This window comes from Homo sapiens, chromosome 19 (genome assembly GCF_000001405.40).
Source record: "Homo sapiens chromosome 19, GRCh38.p14 Primary Assembly".
NCBI lineage: Eukaryota > Metazoa > Chordata > Mammalia > Primates > Hominidae > Homo > Homo sapiens.
In genome coordinates, this window is record NC_000019.10 from 42,352,025 (window position 1) to 42,366,605 (window position 14,581).

The 14,581-nt window shown below is 57.0% G+C and overlaps 1 protein-coding gene across 2 annotated transcripts in view, besides 1 other annotated feature; it reads left to right on the forward strand.

Moving 5' to 3' along the window:
* MEGF8 (multiple EGF like domains 8) overlaps positions 1 to 14,581 on the forward strand; it is a 53,131-nt gene that overhangs the window by 26,390 nt on the left and 12,160 nt on the right. For both annotated transcript variants that reach the window (NM_001271938.2, NM_001410.3), the window contains 17 exons: positions 184 to 432; positions 904 to 1,103; positions 1,441 to 1,651; positions 1,751 to 2,000; positions 2,564 to 2,696; positions 3,734 to 3,981; positions 4,059 to 4,169; positions 4,311 to 4,429; positions 4,750 to 4,957; positions 5,380 to 5,560; positions 6,120 to 6,283; positions 6,763 to 6,930; positions 7,074 to 7,218; positions 8,751 to 8,982; positions 10,066 to 10,189; positions 10,360 to 10,573; positions 11,024 to 11,238. In NM_001271938.2, the coding sequence (NP_001258867.1) occupies positions 184 to 432; positions 904 to 1,103; positions 1,441 to 1,651; positions 1,751 to 2,000; positions 2,564 to 2,696; positions 3,734 to 3,981; positions 4,059 to 4,169; positions 4,311 to 4,429; positions 4,750 to 4,957; positions 5,380 to 5,560; positions 6,120 to 6,283; positions 6,763 to 6,930; positions 7,074 to 7,218; positions 8,751 to 8,982; positions 10,066 to 10,189; positions 10,360 to 10,573; positions 11,024 to 11,238 (3,172 nt within the window). The remainder of the gene's footprint in view (positions 1 to 183; positions 433 to 903; positions 1,104 to 1,440; positions 1,652 to 1,750; positions 2,001 to 2,563; positions 2,697 to 3,733; positions 3,982 to 4,058; positions 4,170 to 4,310; positions 4,430 to 4,749; positions 4,958 to 5,379; positions 5,561 to 6,119; positions 6,284 to 6,762; positions 6,931 to 7,073; positions 7,219 to 8,750; positions 8,983 to 10,065; positions 10,190 to 10,359; positions 10,574 to 11,023; positions 11,239 to 14,581) is intronic.
* Positions 10,339 to 10,838: an enhancer, noted in NCBI's record as "H3K4me1 hESC enhancer chr19:42866515-42867014 (GRCh37/hg19 assembly coordinates)". NCBI's record gives its function as "activates a minimal SCP1, AML or CMV promoter by ChIP-STARR-seq in naive H9 embryonic stem cells {active_cell/tissue: H9 hESC(naive)}" and the evidence as "EXISTENCE:reporter gene assay evidence [ECO:0000049][PMID:30033119]".

Sequence of the window (14,581 nt, forward strand, 5' to 3'; positions counted from 1 at the left end):
GTCTCTCTTCTGTCTTCCAAAATTGTTTTTGTCTGCGACTTCTCCTGGTTTCTCTGTCTCTCTTTCCAAATTTGTATTTGCATCCCTCTCCTTCCAATTGGCCTCCTCTCTCCCTGTCATTGTTTCTATGTATGGCTCCTGTTTCTATGTTGTCCCCCGCTTCTTCACTCTCCCACCCTGCAGGTGCCTACAGGGGGACTTCTCAGGGCCCCTCGGTGGGGGTAACTGCTCCCTGTGGGTGGGGGAGGGCCTGGGGCTTCCCGTGGCCCTCCCTGCCCGCTGGGCATACGCCCGCTGTCCTGACGTGGATGAGTGTCGCCTGGGCCTGGCCCGGTGCCACCCGCGGGCGACCTGCCTGAACACGCCCCTCAGCTACGAGTGTCACTGCCAGCGGGGCTACCAGGGTGATGGCATCTCACACTGCAACCGCACGTGAGTGAGGCGGGGGTTGCTATGGAGATGTTGCCCCAGGCTGGGGCACATGGAGGTGGAGGGAGGAAGCCATCATGGCGCTGGGTCCCCTCCTGTGGAACCAGCATCCCCAGTTAGCCAGGGGTTTTTACCTTGCACACTAGGTCCTTATTAGAGTGACAGGGTCCCCAGTGTAACCCTGGTTACCATGGAAATGGGGCACCCATAGGCTGTGGGCCATAGTCTTCAGCGTTGCCATGGAGGCGGAGGAGGACCTAGTTGAAAGAGGTTTTCACAGTGGTGCTATGTGGTTGCTATAGAGACAGGCTTGGTGATGCATGGAGTTACCTTGGAGACAGGGTCACCCACATAGCCCAAAACCATGGAAACAGCCAGTGGCTTTGATGGTGTCATGGTGGGTGGAGATGATGGGGTGCTTTAGGGGCTCTGGGCCTGCCTGGCGCTTTCCCCACCCCCAACACGGCCCCTCAGGTGCTTGGAGGACTGTGGCCATGGTGTGTGCAGTGGCCCCCCGGACTTTACCTGCGTGTGTGACCTAGGCTGGACATCAGACCTGCCCCCTCCCACACCCGCCCCGGGTCCGCCAGCCCCCCGCTGCTCCCGGGACTGTGGCTGCAGCTTCCACAGCCACTGCCGCAAGCGGGGCCCTGGCTTCTGCGACGAGTGCCAGGGTAAGCAGCCCTTGTCCTGGGCCCAGCCTGGACCCAGGGAGCCTCCTCCCTTCTTGGGGCTCCAGTTTGCTCTTCTTGGAGGGGGCCTCAGTGTCCTCTCATGCAGCTCTAGGTCCCCTGCCCCATTCCTGTTCCTGACTCAAACAGGTTTCAGTGCCACCCGTCACTCTGGTTGGGCTTCAGTTCCCCCTCTTGGGACTTGCTGTTTCCCCTGATCTGGGCCTTGGTTTCTCACCTTTGAAGCGGCTGGGTGGGGTCAGGGTTTAGCTGAGCCAGTAGGCCTGGGCCTGTTTCCACCCTTGACTTGACTCTGTCCCACCTGCTGGGGCCTCCACAGACTGGACATGGGGGGAGCACTGCGAACGATGCCGGCCCGGCAGCTTCGGCAACGCCACAGGCTCTAGGGGCTGCCGGCCCTGCCAGTGCAACGGGCACGGGGACCCACGCCGTGGCCACTGCGACAACCTCAGTGGGCTCTGCTTCTGCCAGGACCACACCGAGGGTGCCCACTGCCAGCTCTGCTCCCCAGGCTATTATGGGGATCCCCGGTGAGCCAACGGGCCAGCCAGGGCTGGGTAGGGTGTGCTTGGGGACACAGTGGGGAGGGTCAGGACTGGTCTGACACTGGCTCTTCTCCATCTCCCCAGGGCCGGTGGTTCCTGCTTTCGGGAGTGTGGGGGTCGCGCCCTCCTCACCAACGTGTCCTCAGTGGCACTGGGCTCACGCCGGGTCGGGGGGCTGCTGCCTCCAGGTGGCGGGGCTGCAAGAGCCGGGCCTGGCCTGTCCTACTGTGTGTGGGTTGTCTCGGCCACTGAGGAGCTACAGCCCTGTGCTCCCGGGACCCTCTGTCCCCCACTCACCCTCACCTTCTCCCCCGACAGCAGCACCCCCTGCACGGTGAGCACTGAGGAAACGAGGGTTCAGGCGCATGAGCCAGAACCGTGTCCCCTGACCCAGCCTGCATCCTCAGACCCTGACCCTAGTATTGCTGTTTTTTTTTTTTTGTTTTTTTAATCCTTCAAAACCCAAACTCCTCCTCAGATCCCCAGCACTTTGTTCCTAGGCCCACAGACAGACCCCCCCATTTCCCAGATAGCTTCCTATTTCCTCAGCTCCCATCTCCAATTCTCCAGATTCTCAATCTCCCCATTCCTAGAGCAGGAATGGTAAATTGTTACACCTTGTACACCAACTCTGATTGATTGGTACTGACTGCCAGGAGCTGCATGTTGAGAAAGGGGCTCAATGCAAGAGTGCCTGATAGATGAGCCGTGTCTACTTTGGACACAGGAAGGGGAGTGGTGGCCTTATGCCATAGTTTGACAGTCTCCCCTGGATGTTCAAACAGCCCATTTCCCAGTCTCAGATTGCCCTCCCCTCTTGAACCCCTCCTCCTCCCAGACCCCAGGTGTCGTTCTCATCCTCATTGTCTCCTAATCCTCGATTCTGCACCCCTCTAGCTGAGCTACGTCCTGGCGTTTGATGGATTCCCACGCTTCCTGGACACTGGTGTTGTCCAGTCGGACCGCAGCCTCATAGCTGCCTTCTGCGGCCAGCGACGGGACAGGCCCCTCACTGTTCAGGCCCTGTCTGGTACGGGGGCTAGGGGAAGTGGGACCTCTTAGTCCTGGGCTATGTATCCCTTGCCCCTGAACTCACCACCTGAAGTGGGCTCAGGACCCAGCTCTGCCGCTGCTTATGGGGTGATGTAGTCCCTCACCATCTCTGGACCTCAGTGTCCTTAGTTGAGAGGAAAATAGGATTGCGCCGGCTGAGCTACGTCTGCAGAGAGAAGGGCTGAATGAGACATGTCTCTGGGGCATATAGAATGTGGTTGGTGTGAGGATCCCACACCACTCACTCTTTCCAGCTAGGCAGGAGTGTAGTAGCGCAATCTCAGCTCACTGCAACTTCTGCCTCCTGGGCTCCAGCGATTCTCCTGCCTCAGCCTCCCGAGTAGCTGGGATTACAGGCGCATGCCACCATGCCTGGCTAATTTTTGTATTTTTAGTAGAGACAGGGTTTCACCATGTTGGCCAGTCTGGTCTTGAACTCCTGACCTCAAGTGATTCGCCCACCTTGGCCTCCCAAAATGCTGGGATTACAGACATAAGCTGCTGCGCCCGGCATATATATATATATAACTTTATTGAGGCATATTTTATATATACTAACATATCAAGTAATTCCTGTCACACCTACCCCCAAATCAGTATCTTTTCTAAAGAGATCCAGTCTCATGTAAGGGCAGTAGGAGTTGTGGAAGGTTTGGAGCTTGCTGATTACAGGGCCCAATTCACGTTTTGAGGATCGCTGGGCCACCATGAGTGGGGAGTGTAGGCAGCCAGGATGACCAGTAGGGGATGGGTGCCGGTGTCCAGGTGGGACAGGACTTGGGCTTGGATAGCAGCTCAGGAGGTAGCTAGCAGTCGGTGAGAGATTTAGGCTTGAAGATCAATCTTGATGGGTTGGCTGAGGGAGGGGGTGCAGAATGGTTCATCCTGGCGATGATTATGAATAATATGGTGCCTTCCTTCCCTGCCCAGTCACACTGGGTTTTCTTAGCATCTGGGGGTGGAAGGGGCCAGGAACGTGACTTTGCTACCAGCCTCTGGCCTCTCTCTTCACAGGGCTGCTCGTGCTGCACTGGGAGGCCAATGGCTCCTCATCCTGGGGCTTCAATGCTTCGGTGGGCTCTGCCCGCTGTGGGTCAGGGGGCCCCGGGAGCTGTCCCGTCCCCCAGGAATGCGTGCCCCAGGACGGTGCTGCAGGTGCGGGGCTCTGCCGATGTCCTCAGGGCTGGGCTGGCCCACACTGCCGCATGGCTCTGTGTCCTGAGAACTGCAATGCCCACACTGGGGCAGGAACTTGTAACCAGGTACAGGTGGGAGAGGGCAAGTCTGGTGGGACAGGGCTGGTGATCAGGGCTCCCCTGAGTCCCTTGTCATCCCCCAGAGCCTGGGTGTGTGCATCTGTGCCGAGGGCTTCGGGGGCCCCGACTGCGCCACCAAGCTGGATGGCGGGCAGCTGGTCTGGGAGACCCTCATGGACAGCCGCCTCTCAGCCGTGAGTTGTGGGTACCCGCTGTCTAGGGATGGTTGCTCCCAGGTCGTTCTCCCACCTCCATTCCTGGGACCACCCCTACACCCAGGCCTGGCACTTTGTCCTGACCCTAGCCTGATCCCCAATGTCCGCACCCACCCCTAGGACACTGCCAGCCGCTTCCTGCACCGCCTGGGCCACACCATGGTGGATGGACCCGATGCCACCTTGTGGATGTTTGGGGGCCTGGGCCTGCCCCAGGGGCTGCTGGGAAACCTGTACAGGTGAGGACTGCCCTGGGCAGGTGGGATTCGCAAATAAGAGAAGGTCACCTCGGGATGCTAAGAGTCACCTCAGAGGAGTGCAGAAAAGCCTCTAAGGTAAAGGACAGCCCAAAGGATGCTGGGACACTTGTCACAGGAAGCTCACCCGGGGACACTTGGGGACCAGGGTACTTATTTGGGTGGTGCTACTCCAGGGAATGGCAAGAGGACTGTCATAGGAAGGTCACCCCAGGGGATGCGGGGACATCTGTCAGGCAGGGTCACCTTGAAGGATGCTGGGATGACTGTAATGAGGCTGCTTTTTTGCACCCTGGCCCCAGGTACTCAGTGAGTGAGCGGCGGTGGACACAGATGCTGGCGGGAGCCGAGGACGGGGGCCCAGGCCCATCGCCCCGCTCCTTCCATGCAGCCGCATATGTGCCCGCTGGCCGTGGTGCCATGTATCTGCTGGGGGGACTTACCGCTGGAGGCGTCACCCGTGATTTCTGGGTCCTCAACCTCACCACCCTGCAATGGCGGCAGGAGAAGGTGAGCATCTCTCCCCAGCCCACTCCCCAGCCCTCACACTGGGCCCTGACAGAGACAGCTGTGGTAGCTCCTGCCAGCTCCATCCCCAGAGGAAACAGAAGCCCCAAACTTGAATTTCCTCGGCCATCCTGGGTCACACTGTTGTCCTGAGCCAGTCCTGGGCTGGGACACAGCTTCACTCAGCAGCAGAGAGAGGCCAGGGGAGCAAGGGCTTCCCAAAGCCACACCAGGCTTGAGCAGGTGGAAATGCCAAGGGGCCCACTGTGCCTCTGCCAGGACCCAGGCTGGTCCGACTGGCCCTGGGGGGGTCATTCCCTCCTTAGTACTTCAGGGAGGACTGTGGGGGGCTGAGGCTCGCTTCTACCCACAAGGTGACCCCTGACCTCTAGCCCCATCGGTGACCTTGCCCCTCCATCCCTCAGGCCCCCCAGACCGTGGAGCTGCCAGCCGTTGCTGGTCACACCCTTACTGCCCGCCGAGGCCTGTCTCTGCTCCTGGTGGGCGGTTACTCCCCGGAAAATGGCTTCAACCAGCAGCTGCTGGAGTACCAGCTGGCAACCGGCACCTGGGTGTCAGGAGCCCAGAGTGGGACACCCCCCACAGGTGGGGCTGGGGACCGGGAGGGGACAGCCCCCGTGGACCTCCCGGGCATCTGGGCTTCCTGTGGGCTCTCCATCCACTGCTGTGCTCTGTGGCCACCTGTCTCCCTCTCTTTCCCATCCCCATGCAGATTCTCAGGGCACCCTCTTGAATGTTCAGATTTTCTGACTGTCCTTCCCAGACTCCACAACTAACTGCCCACTCCCGGCCACATGTGGCCACCGTCCCCTGCCCCCAGGGTCTGAGCTCCCTGCTTCTCAAGGGTTCTTCCTCGATCACACCTCCTTTCTTTGATCACTGTCCCCTAGACATTCTGGACGCCCTGTCTCCCTCCCGAGAGCCTGGCAGAACTTACTGCCAGTTGAGGACTCCCTTCTCTTTCCCAGAGTCTCTAATGATTGTCCATTTGAACCCAACTGAGAGGGACGGGTGGAGAGGGGCTCCCAGGCCTCCAGTCTCAGGGCCGGGGAAGGGAGTGGTCACCGAACAGGGGACCGGGAGGTCGGCGGGGTCAGTGCTGTTGTCAGCCCCTCCCCCAGCCTGTCACCCTGCCCCTCACCAGGTCTCTATGGTCACTCTGCTGTCTACCACGAGGCCACCGACTCCCTCTACGTGTTTGGGGGGTTCCGATTCCATGTGGAGCTGGCGGCCCCATCCCCCGAGCTCTACTCCCTGCACTGTCCTGACCGCACCTGGAGTCTGCTGGCCCCTTCTCAGGGGGCAAAGGTCAGGAAAAGAGGCTCAGACCCAAGGATGTATGGGGCAGGAGGGAGGGGTCCTCTTTCCCAGTGCCCCAGGGACTGGCTCCATCCCAGATTCCTGCTTCCCCTCCTTTCTATGTTCCCTAACTAAGCGACACCCCCACATCTCCCCCGCTTCCATCCCTGATTTGGAGGAGAGAACCCGAGGCCAGGAGGTCAGAGGCATGAGTTCTGCCCAGCTCTCCCCTGAGTCTTGGTGCGGCCCTGGCAGGCCCCTTCCCCGTCCTGGGTTTTTCCACTCGTATAAACCAGGACTGAGGCTCCCCGCTCTTTCTGCCTTCAAGGCCAAGGAGAATGTGTGTGGGAGGGCAGGGAGCCCTGTCTGCACTGGTTAGAGAGGCTGGTGGTTTCAGTCCACACGTTTCCAAGCCCGTCTTGGAGGCAGGGGGCTAGAAGCAAGAGACTCGAGGAGCCTCAACCCCAGGACGCCCCCACTGTCACTAGCGAGATCGTATGAGGAATGTGCGTGGCTCATCTCGGGGTCTGGGCCAAGTTCCTGGGGAGCAGCCTGGGTCATGGGGGTTCCGGGAAGTCAGGAAGAAGATGGCTCTGTGGGCTGCTCTTGCTGGTACAGGAGGTTTCCTGGAGGAAATCTCACCTCACCTGAAGGAGGTGAGATTTGAAGAGGGTTAGGATTGGGTGGGCTGGTAGGGGGGGATAGGTAGGGAAGTACAGGGGTGGCTGGAGGGCTAAGAGGGAGCAGAGGACAGCTCTGACAGGCTGTCCTGTCCCCCCACCCCCCGTCTCCCCAACAGCCCCGCCCCCGGCTTTTCCACGCCTCAGCCCTGTTAGGGGACACCATGGTGGTTCTTGGGGGGCGCTCGGACCCTGACGAGTTCAGCAGCGACGTTCTGCTCTACCAGGTCAACTGCAATGCCTGGCTTCTGCCCGACCTCACCCGTAAGTCCCCATTGTGGCTCCCAGGAGGCTGAGGGACATCCAGGAGGAGCCCCATCCCCATCCTGGGACTCCCACTCCTTAGGAGTCACTGGGCCCCTGCAGACCCACTGGCAGAGCTCCCGCTCTTCTGGATTATCTGAACACCAGGACATGCCCTCCTTCCTTTTTTTTTTCTTAGAGAAGTTTATTTTTTACTCTGTAAAAGTAACAATGTTCACTATATATAATTTGTAAAATAGGAAAGAAAAAAAAACACCCATAATCCCTCTCTCTAGAGACAACCACTATTAGACATGGGGGTGTTTCCTACCAGTCTTTGCTGTTCATAGGTAGAAGCATGCCTGTCACTTGCCTTTTTATTTCAATGTTGTGAGTGACTGTTGTGAGTGTGTTTCTGGGACTGTCTCCTTTTCTTTTTGCTTCTCTCTCTGACCCTTTGTCTCTTTTTCTATTTTTATTAGCAACAGGGTCTCACTGTGTTGCCTAGGCTGGAGTGCAGTGATGCTATCTTGGCTCACTGTAGCCTCTGCCTCCAAGGCTCAAGCAAGCAATCCTCCCTCCTCAGCCTCCCAAGAAGCTGGGACTACAGGCATGCCACCACGCCTGGATAATTTTTTTTTTTTTTTTTTTTTTGTAGAGACAGGGTTTTGCTATGTTGCCCACGCTGGTCTTGAACTCCTGGGCCCAAGCAGTCCACCTGCCTCAGCCTCCCAAAGTGCTGGGATTTAATTCCCTTTTTCTCTTAATCTGTCTTTTCAGATTCAGTAGACAGAGACTACTTCATGTCTGTGTCTCTCAGTTATTTTTTGAGGATTTAAAAAAATTGAGGTGAAAGTCACATAACATAAAATTAACCATCTTAAAAATACATTGGCTGCAGCCTGGGTGACAGAGCAAGACTCTTTCTCAAAAAAAAAAAAAAAAAGCATTGGCATTTAGTGCCTTCAGAGAGTTGTCCAGCCGCCACATCTATCTGGTTCGAAAACATTTGTCTCTCTTCTTATTTCCCTCTTTGTGTTCCTTTGTTGTCTGCTTGTGTCTCTCTCCCTCTCTTTTTTTTTGCTTGCTGTCTATCCTCATGTGTTTCCTCTCTGCTTCTGCTGTTTTTTTTTTTTTTTTTGGAGACATGGTCTTGTTCTGTTGCCCAGGCTGGAGTGCAGTGGTGCAATCTCAGCTCACTGCAACCTCAACCTCCTGGGCTCAAGTGATCCTCCTAATTTAGCTTCCCAAGTAGCTGGGGCCACAGGTGCGCACCACCATGCCCAGCTAATTTTTTATTGTTTGTAGAGACGGGGTCTTTCTACGTTGCCCAGGCTGGTCTTAAACTCCTGGGCTCAAGCAGTCTTCCTGCCTCAGCCTCCCAAAGTGTTGGGATCACAGGTGTGAGCCACCGCCCTTGGCCTTGTTTCTGCTGTCCTTTGACCCTGTGTTTCTCCTCTTTCCCTGCATCCTTCTCTGACTGGCATCATGGTGTGGGTCTCTTCCTGGAGTCTCCTGCTCTCTATCTGTCTGAATACACCATCTTTCCTCAGGCTCGGCCTCTGTGGGGCCCCCAATGGAGGAGTCTGTGGCCCATGCTGTGGCAGCAGTCGGGAGCCGCCTGTATATCTCTGGGGGTTTCGGGGGAGTGGCCCTGGGCCGCCTGCTGGCACTGACCCTGCCCCCTGACCCCTGCCGCCTGCTGTCCTCACCTGAAGCTTGTAACCAGTCTGGGGCCTGCACCTGGTGCCATGGGGCCTGCTTGTCCGGGGATCAGGCCCACAGGTAACCATGGCGACCATGACAGGCAGTGGGGAGTGGAGCCCTCTAATGGGGGTCCTGTGCTAGGCCACACCAGGATGGAGGCCTCAGGAGTATACCGTCTGGTTCAGGAAAGGGGTGAATCACCGCAGGCAGGGTGGCCGGGGGAGCTCTGAGTGGGGATCCCTGCCTGGGACTGGGGTCTCATGCAAGAATGCTTGCTGGAGGAGCTGGGTCTGAACTGGGCCTTAAAAGAACGGTAGAGTTGAGACCATCAGTGATTCAGAAGTGAGGCTGAGACCGGAAGCTGGAGGGGGTCAGCTCAGAAAGGGCTTCCCATGCCTGGCAGAGGCACTGGCTCTGTCCAGCTCCACAGATCCTTCAGCTGCGGTTCCAGGAATGCAGACATCCTGGACACTGAAAGTGTTTTCTTAGGCTTAGCACAGACTCACTTCGCTGCCCAGTCACCCTCACTGATATGAGGCTATTAGTTGGCCTTATTTGCCCGAAGGGTGTGTTGTCAGTTACTACAGGAATGTTAATGGTTTGATTTCGGAGTGCTCCTTACCCCAGACCCCACTGGAGGTATTGTGTAACAGTGGGTACACCCACTGCTTTTCTAAAATCCAGAACAGTCTGAAACGTGTGTACCTCTTGGGATTTGGGGTAAGGGATTGTGGACCCCCCCTGTGCAGGACAGGGAGCCATGGAAGGCCTGAGCAGGACAGGGCAGGGACGGGCCTGGGCAGTGAGATCCCTGGCGCTGTTGTGAGGGGTAGAGTGACGAGAGCCTGCAGGTGGGGACCAGGTTGGGCAAGGGGCTGCAGGGGTGGGGAGGAGGGGACGGTCAGGGAGAAATCCAGGAGGCAGAAGGCTTCGGTGGCTGCATGGGCAGGAGGACCTGGGGTGTGGTCCAGCGTCTCCAGCCTGGGTGACAGGTGGATGTGGGACCATCTATTACCAAATGGTGGTGGGGACAGCCAGGCTCAGGAGGCCTGTGCTATGTCCAGCTTGGGATGCAGGGTTGGGGGCCTGCAGGACAGTGTCTGGGAGGCAGAAGGAGGGGGTCTGGATGGGTGTGAGTGAGCCAGGCCTCATGTCCTTTAGGCTGGGCTGCGGGGGCTCCCCCTGCTCCCCAATGCCTCGCTCCCCGGAGGAATGTCGACGTCTCCGGACCTGCAGTGAGTGCCTGGCCCGCCATCCTCGGACCCTGCAACCTGGAGATGGAGAGGTGAGTGGTGGGGAAGGCAGGGATGAGAAGCAGCAGGTGTAGGGCAGGGAGGTCCTGGTCTCCACTCTGGTCAGCTGTCCCACCCACCCCAGGGTCTCAGGAACCACCGAGTTCTCAGCTGGCTCAGGAGGGGTGCTGAGGGTCCCATCTAGCCTGTCTTCCCTCACCAGGCGTCCACCCCCCGCTGTAAGTGGTGTACCAACTGCCCCGAAGGTGCTTGCATTGGACGCAATGGGTCCTGCACCTCTGAGAATGACTGTCGGATCAACCAGCGAGAGGTCTTCTGGGCAGGGAACTGCTCCGAGGCTGCGTGCGGGGCTGCTGACTGCGAGCAGTGCACGCGGGAGGGCAAGTGCATGTGGACGCGGCAGTTCAAGAGGACAGGTGAGCAGTGGGCCTAGTTCCTGAGAGGGGAGTCTTGGGGCCTGGACTCCTGGGTCTGAGGGAGGAGGGGCTGGGGGCCTGGTCTCCTGGGTCTGAGGGAGGAGGGGCTGGGGGCCTGGACTCCTGGGTCTGAGGGAGAAGGGGCTGGGCCCCTGATCTCCTGGGTCTGAGGGAGGAGGGACTGGGGCCTGGACTCCTGGGTCTGAGGGAGGAGAGGCTGGGGCCTGGACTCCTGGGTCTGAGGGAGGAGGGGCTGGGGGCCTGGACTCCTGGGTCTGAGGGAGGAGGGGCTGGGCACCTGATCTCTTGGGTCTGAGGGAGGAGGGGCTGGGGCTGGATTCCTGGGTTAAGGGAGGAGGGGCTGGGCCTGAGCTCCTGGGTCTGAGGGAGGAGGGGCTGGGCTTGCGATCTCCTGGGTCTGAGGTTCTAATCCCCGTGCCCCACCCCCAGGGGAGACCCGCCGCATCCTCTCCGTGCAGCCCACCTATGACTGGACGTGCTTCAGCCACTCTCTGCTGAATGTGTCCCCCATGCCGGTGGAATCATCACCCCCACTGCCCTGCCCCACCCCTTGTCACCTCCTACCCAACTGTACCTCCTGCCTGGACTCTAAGGGAGCAGATGGGGGCTGGCAGCACTGTGTTTGGAGCAGCAGCCTGCAGCAGGTACTGCACCTGGCCAGGACCGTGCCAGGCAAGGGCCCGGGCAGGTCTCCCTCCTCTCTGCGCTGGCAGGGACCTTTCTTCCACCATCTCCTCCACCCTCCTCCTTCCATCTCCCTGGCTCTAGCTGCAGTCGTGCTTCCTTCTCGTGCCACCATCTCTTTCCTCCCTCGTTGCCTCATGAGGGTCCCTGTTGTGTCCTCCAGCCATGCTTCTGTGTGTGCCACTTTCCCAACCCCTGGCCTCTGCCTCTCCAACTCTTGTCCATGGTATCATGGTCTCCTCATCCTTTCCATGACTTTAAAAAAATTTTAATTTAATTTTTTGTTTTTAATTTTGTCGATATAATTCATAGGTTCACATCCACGACTCTTAATGCTTCTTCCTTCAACCTCCCAAACCTTTTCTGCTTCCCTCCTCTCTCTCTTTCTCTCTCTACTTATGGAACTTTTGGTTATAAGAAACAGACACTCCCTCGAGCTGGTTTTGTTATAAGGAAGTGTGGGTATTTGATGGACTCTGAGAGCAGGAAGTGTTTCTGCTCTGTTGCTCTCAGGCCACATGACCCGTAATCTCAGCTGTTCTCCACACTTCTCCATTGTCGGGTTTCTGTCGGTCTGATAGTCAACACACATGGCCTCAGATTGCAGCCTTGACTCCCAGTCTAGATGCCTTCTAATTCCAGAGACCACGTTCATCTCTGTGTTTGTCGGTTAGCTCACATTCTCGAGGAGAAACTCTGACTTAGTGCACGAGCTACATGTCCAGCCTTGGTGTAGTGGGATGTGGCCAGGGAGGGCTAGGAGCACGTGGTTCAAACGTGGCACGTCAGATCTAGGCCTCTTCTAGGCTGTGGGGTGGAGAGATGATTCCTGAAGGTGGGTGTGGCCTAGGCAGGCATGTGTGTACCCGTGACAGTCCACCCCTTGGAGTGCCTGGCACATGCTCTCTTGTTTCCAGAAACTCCATTCCAAAGACGCTTCCACCTGACATGATTAAACTGTCGTGGTGGCAGACAAAGGCATTCGCACCCCACCCCACTGCCCCCCCGTGGGAGATAAGACACATTCACCTCCCACTGTCACATGTGGAAGCAATGTCACTCAGCCAGAGCCCACTCCTCATTCATACCTCGATTATGCAAGACCCAATTGAGGCAAAACTGCTCACCATCCGACAACCCATGAACTAAGTGATCAGTCCAGCCACCACCCAGACACTAGTAGACAACAGTGCAGGGATGTGGGACACTTGCCATTTTGAGAGGTGGACTAAAGAAACCAACAGCACTTCGTGGAAATTCGAGACCAGGAGGGCAGGGTGTGGAGGACCAAGAATCCCACAGACCTTGGCATCCAGTGCCAGGAGCCCTGCCTGGGAGTGGTACATTAGCTCTCACCCGGAGGTAGTTTGCCTTGCGATCAAAAGCTCAGGCTGTGAAGTCAGTGGGATCTGGGTTTGACTCCAACTTGGCCACTTCCTGGCTGTTTGACTTTGGATGAGTGACTTCCCCTCTCCAAGACCTCAGGGAGAGTTTGCTAAAATGGGAATCATTTCACTAGATCCTGTCCCCTAGGGAGGTTGTACCAGTTAAATGGGGGAGAATTTACTTAGAGCATAGAGCAATGCCTGCCATTCAGGAAGCACTAAAAAATGGCTAATGATCATGATCATTGTTACTGTAATGAGCAGTGGTGAGAGGGCCAATCTGGCTGACCCAAGTCCTGCCACTGGGAGGATTCCCAGTCTCCACTGTATGGGACACACCAAGAGGGTGGCTGCGGGAGTTCCCCATGGGGGCTGTCAATGTGGCCAGAAGGGCAGAAGCCCCTGTGATTTTGGTCTGTGGTAAGCAGAGGCCTCTCGTCTCCAAGCCTGGGATCCTAATGGTAGTATGGGTTCTCCCCAGATATTATTGAAATTTCCATCATTTATCTTTGTGGGAGCTCCAGGGAGCAGAAGGCATACCCACAGTCCTGCGGGCATGCGCTGTTCCCCCAGCCTCTCGGTGCTTGCCAAGTTCTCACACGCCTGAAGAGCTGGGGCAGCTAAGGAGATGGGGGAGTGGCCAGGAGGGTGGCAAGGGGAAGAGGTGGGGCCAGTGAATTGGAGAGCACAGCCTGTCCCCAGGGGCCAGATGAGCATTGTTGATGGTGTATGTGAATGTGAGAGGGGACTTTTACCAGACTTTCTATGAAACCTCCTAGCTTTAAAGTGATGGCTTAGCTGGGTGGGGTGGCTCAGGCCTGTAATCCCAACACTTCAAGAAGCTGAGACAGATTGATTACTTGAGGCCAGGAGTTCGAGACCTGCCTGGGCAACATAGCAAGACCCTCATCTCTACAAAAAAAAAAAAAAAAAAATTAGCCAGGCATAGTGGTGTGTGTCTGTAGTCCCAGCTACTTGGGAGGCTGAGGTGGGAGGATCACTTGTGTCTGGGAGGTTGAGACTGCAGTGAGCCATTATTACAGCACTGCACTCCAGCCTGGGTGACAGAGCGAGACCCCGTCTCTAAAAAAAAAAAAAAAAAAAAAAAAAATTAGGCCAGGTGCAGTGGCTCACACCTGTAATCCCAGCACTTTGGGAGGCTGAGGTGGGTGGATCGTGAGGTCAGGAGTTCAAGACCAGCTTGACCAATATGGTGAAACCCTGTCTCTACTAAAAATACAAAAATTAACCAGGCATGGTGGCAGGTGCCTGTAATCCCAGCTACTCGGGAGGCTGAGGCAGGAGAGTCGCTTGAACCTGGGTGGCAGAGGTTGCAGTGAACTGAGATCGCACCACTGTACTCCAGCCTGGGTGACAGAGTGAGACTCCGTCTAAAGAAAAAAAAAGAAGTGTTGGCTTAGATTCCACCGCACAAATCAAACATAATAGGCGTGCAGGTGATACCTGTTATGATTTGGCTCAAGGGCTGCCTGATTCTAACCATCCCGCATTGTTCTTTTTTTCTTTTTTTGAAACAGAGTCTCGCTCTGTCGCCCAGGCTGTAGTGCAGTGGCATGATCTCGGCTCACTGCAGTCTCCACCTTCCAGGTTCAAGTGATTATCCTGCTTCAGCCTCCCAAGCATCTGGGACTATAGATGCACGCCACCACACCTGGCTAATTTTTGTATTTTTAGTAGAGACTGGGTGTCACCATATTGGCCAGGCTGGTCTCGAACTCCTGACTTTGTGATCCACCTGCCTCGGCCTCCCAAAGTGCTGGGATTACAGGCATGAGCCACCACGCCTGGCCCAGCATTGTTCTTTTTAATGGCTTTGGCCTGTGAGTCTGGGGCAGGCAGCGGAGACACTCCTTCTCTGGTCTGCCTCCTTCCTCTCATCCTCCCTCCCTCTCTTCAG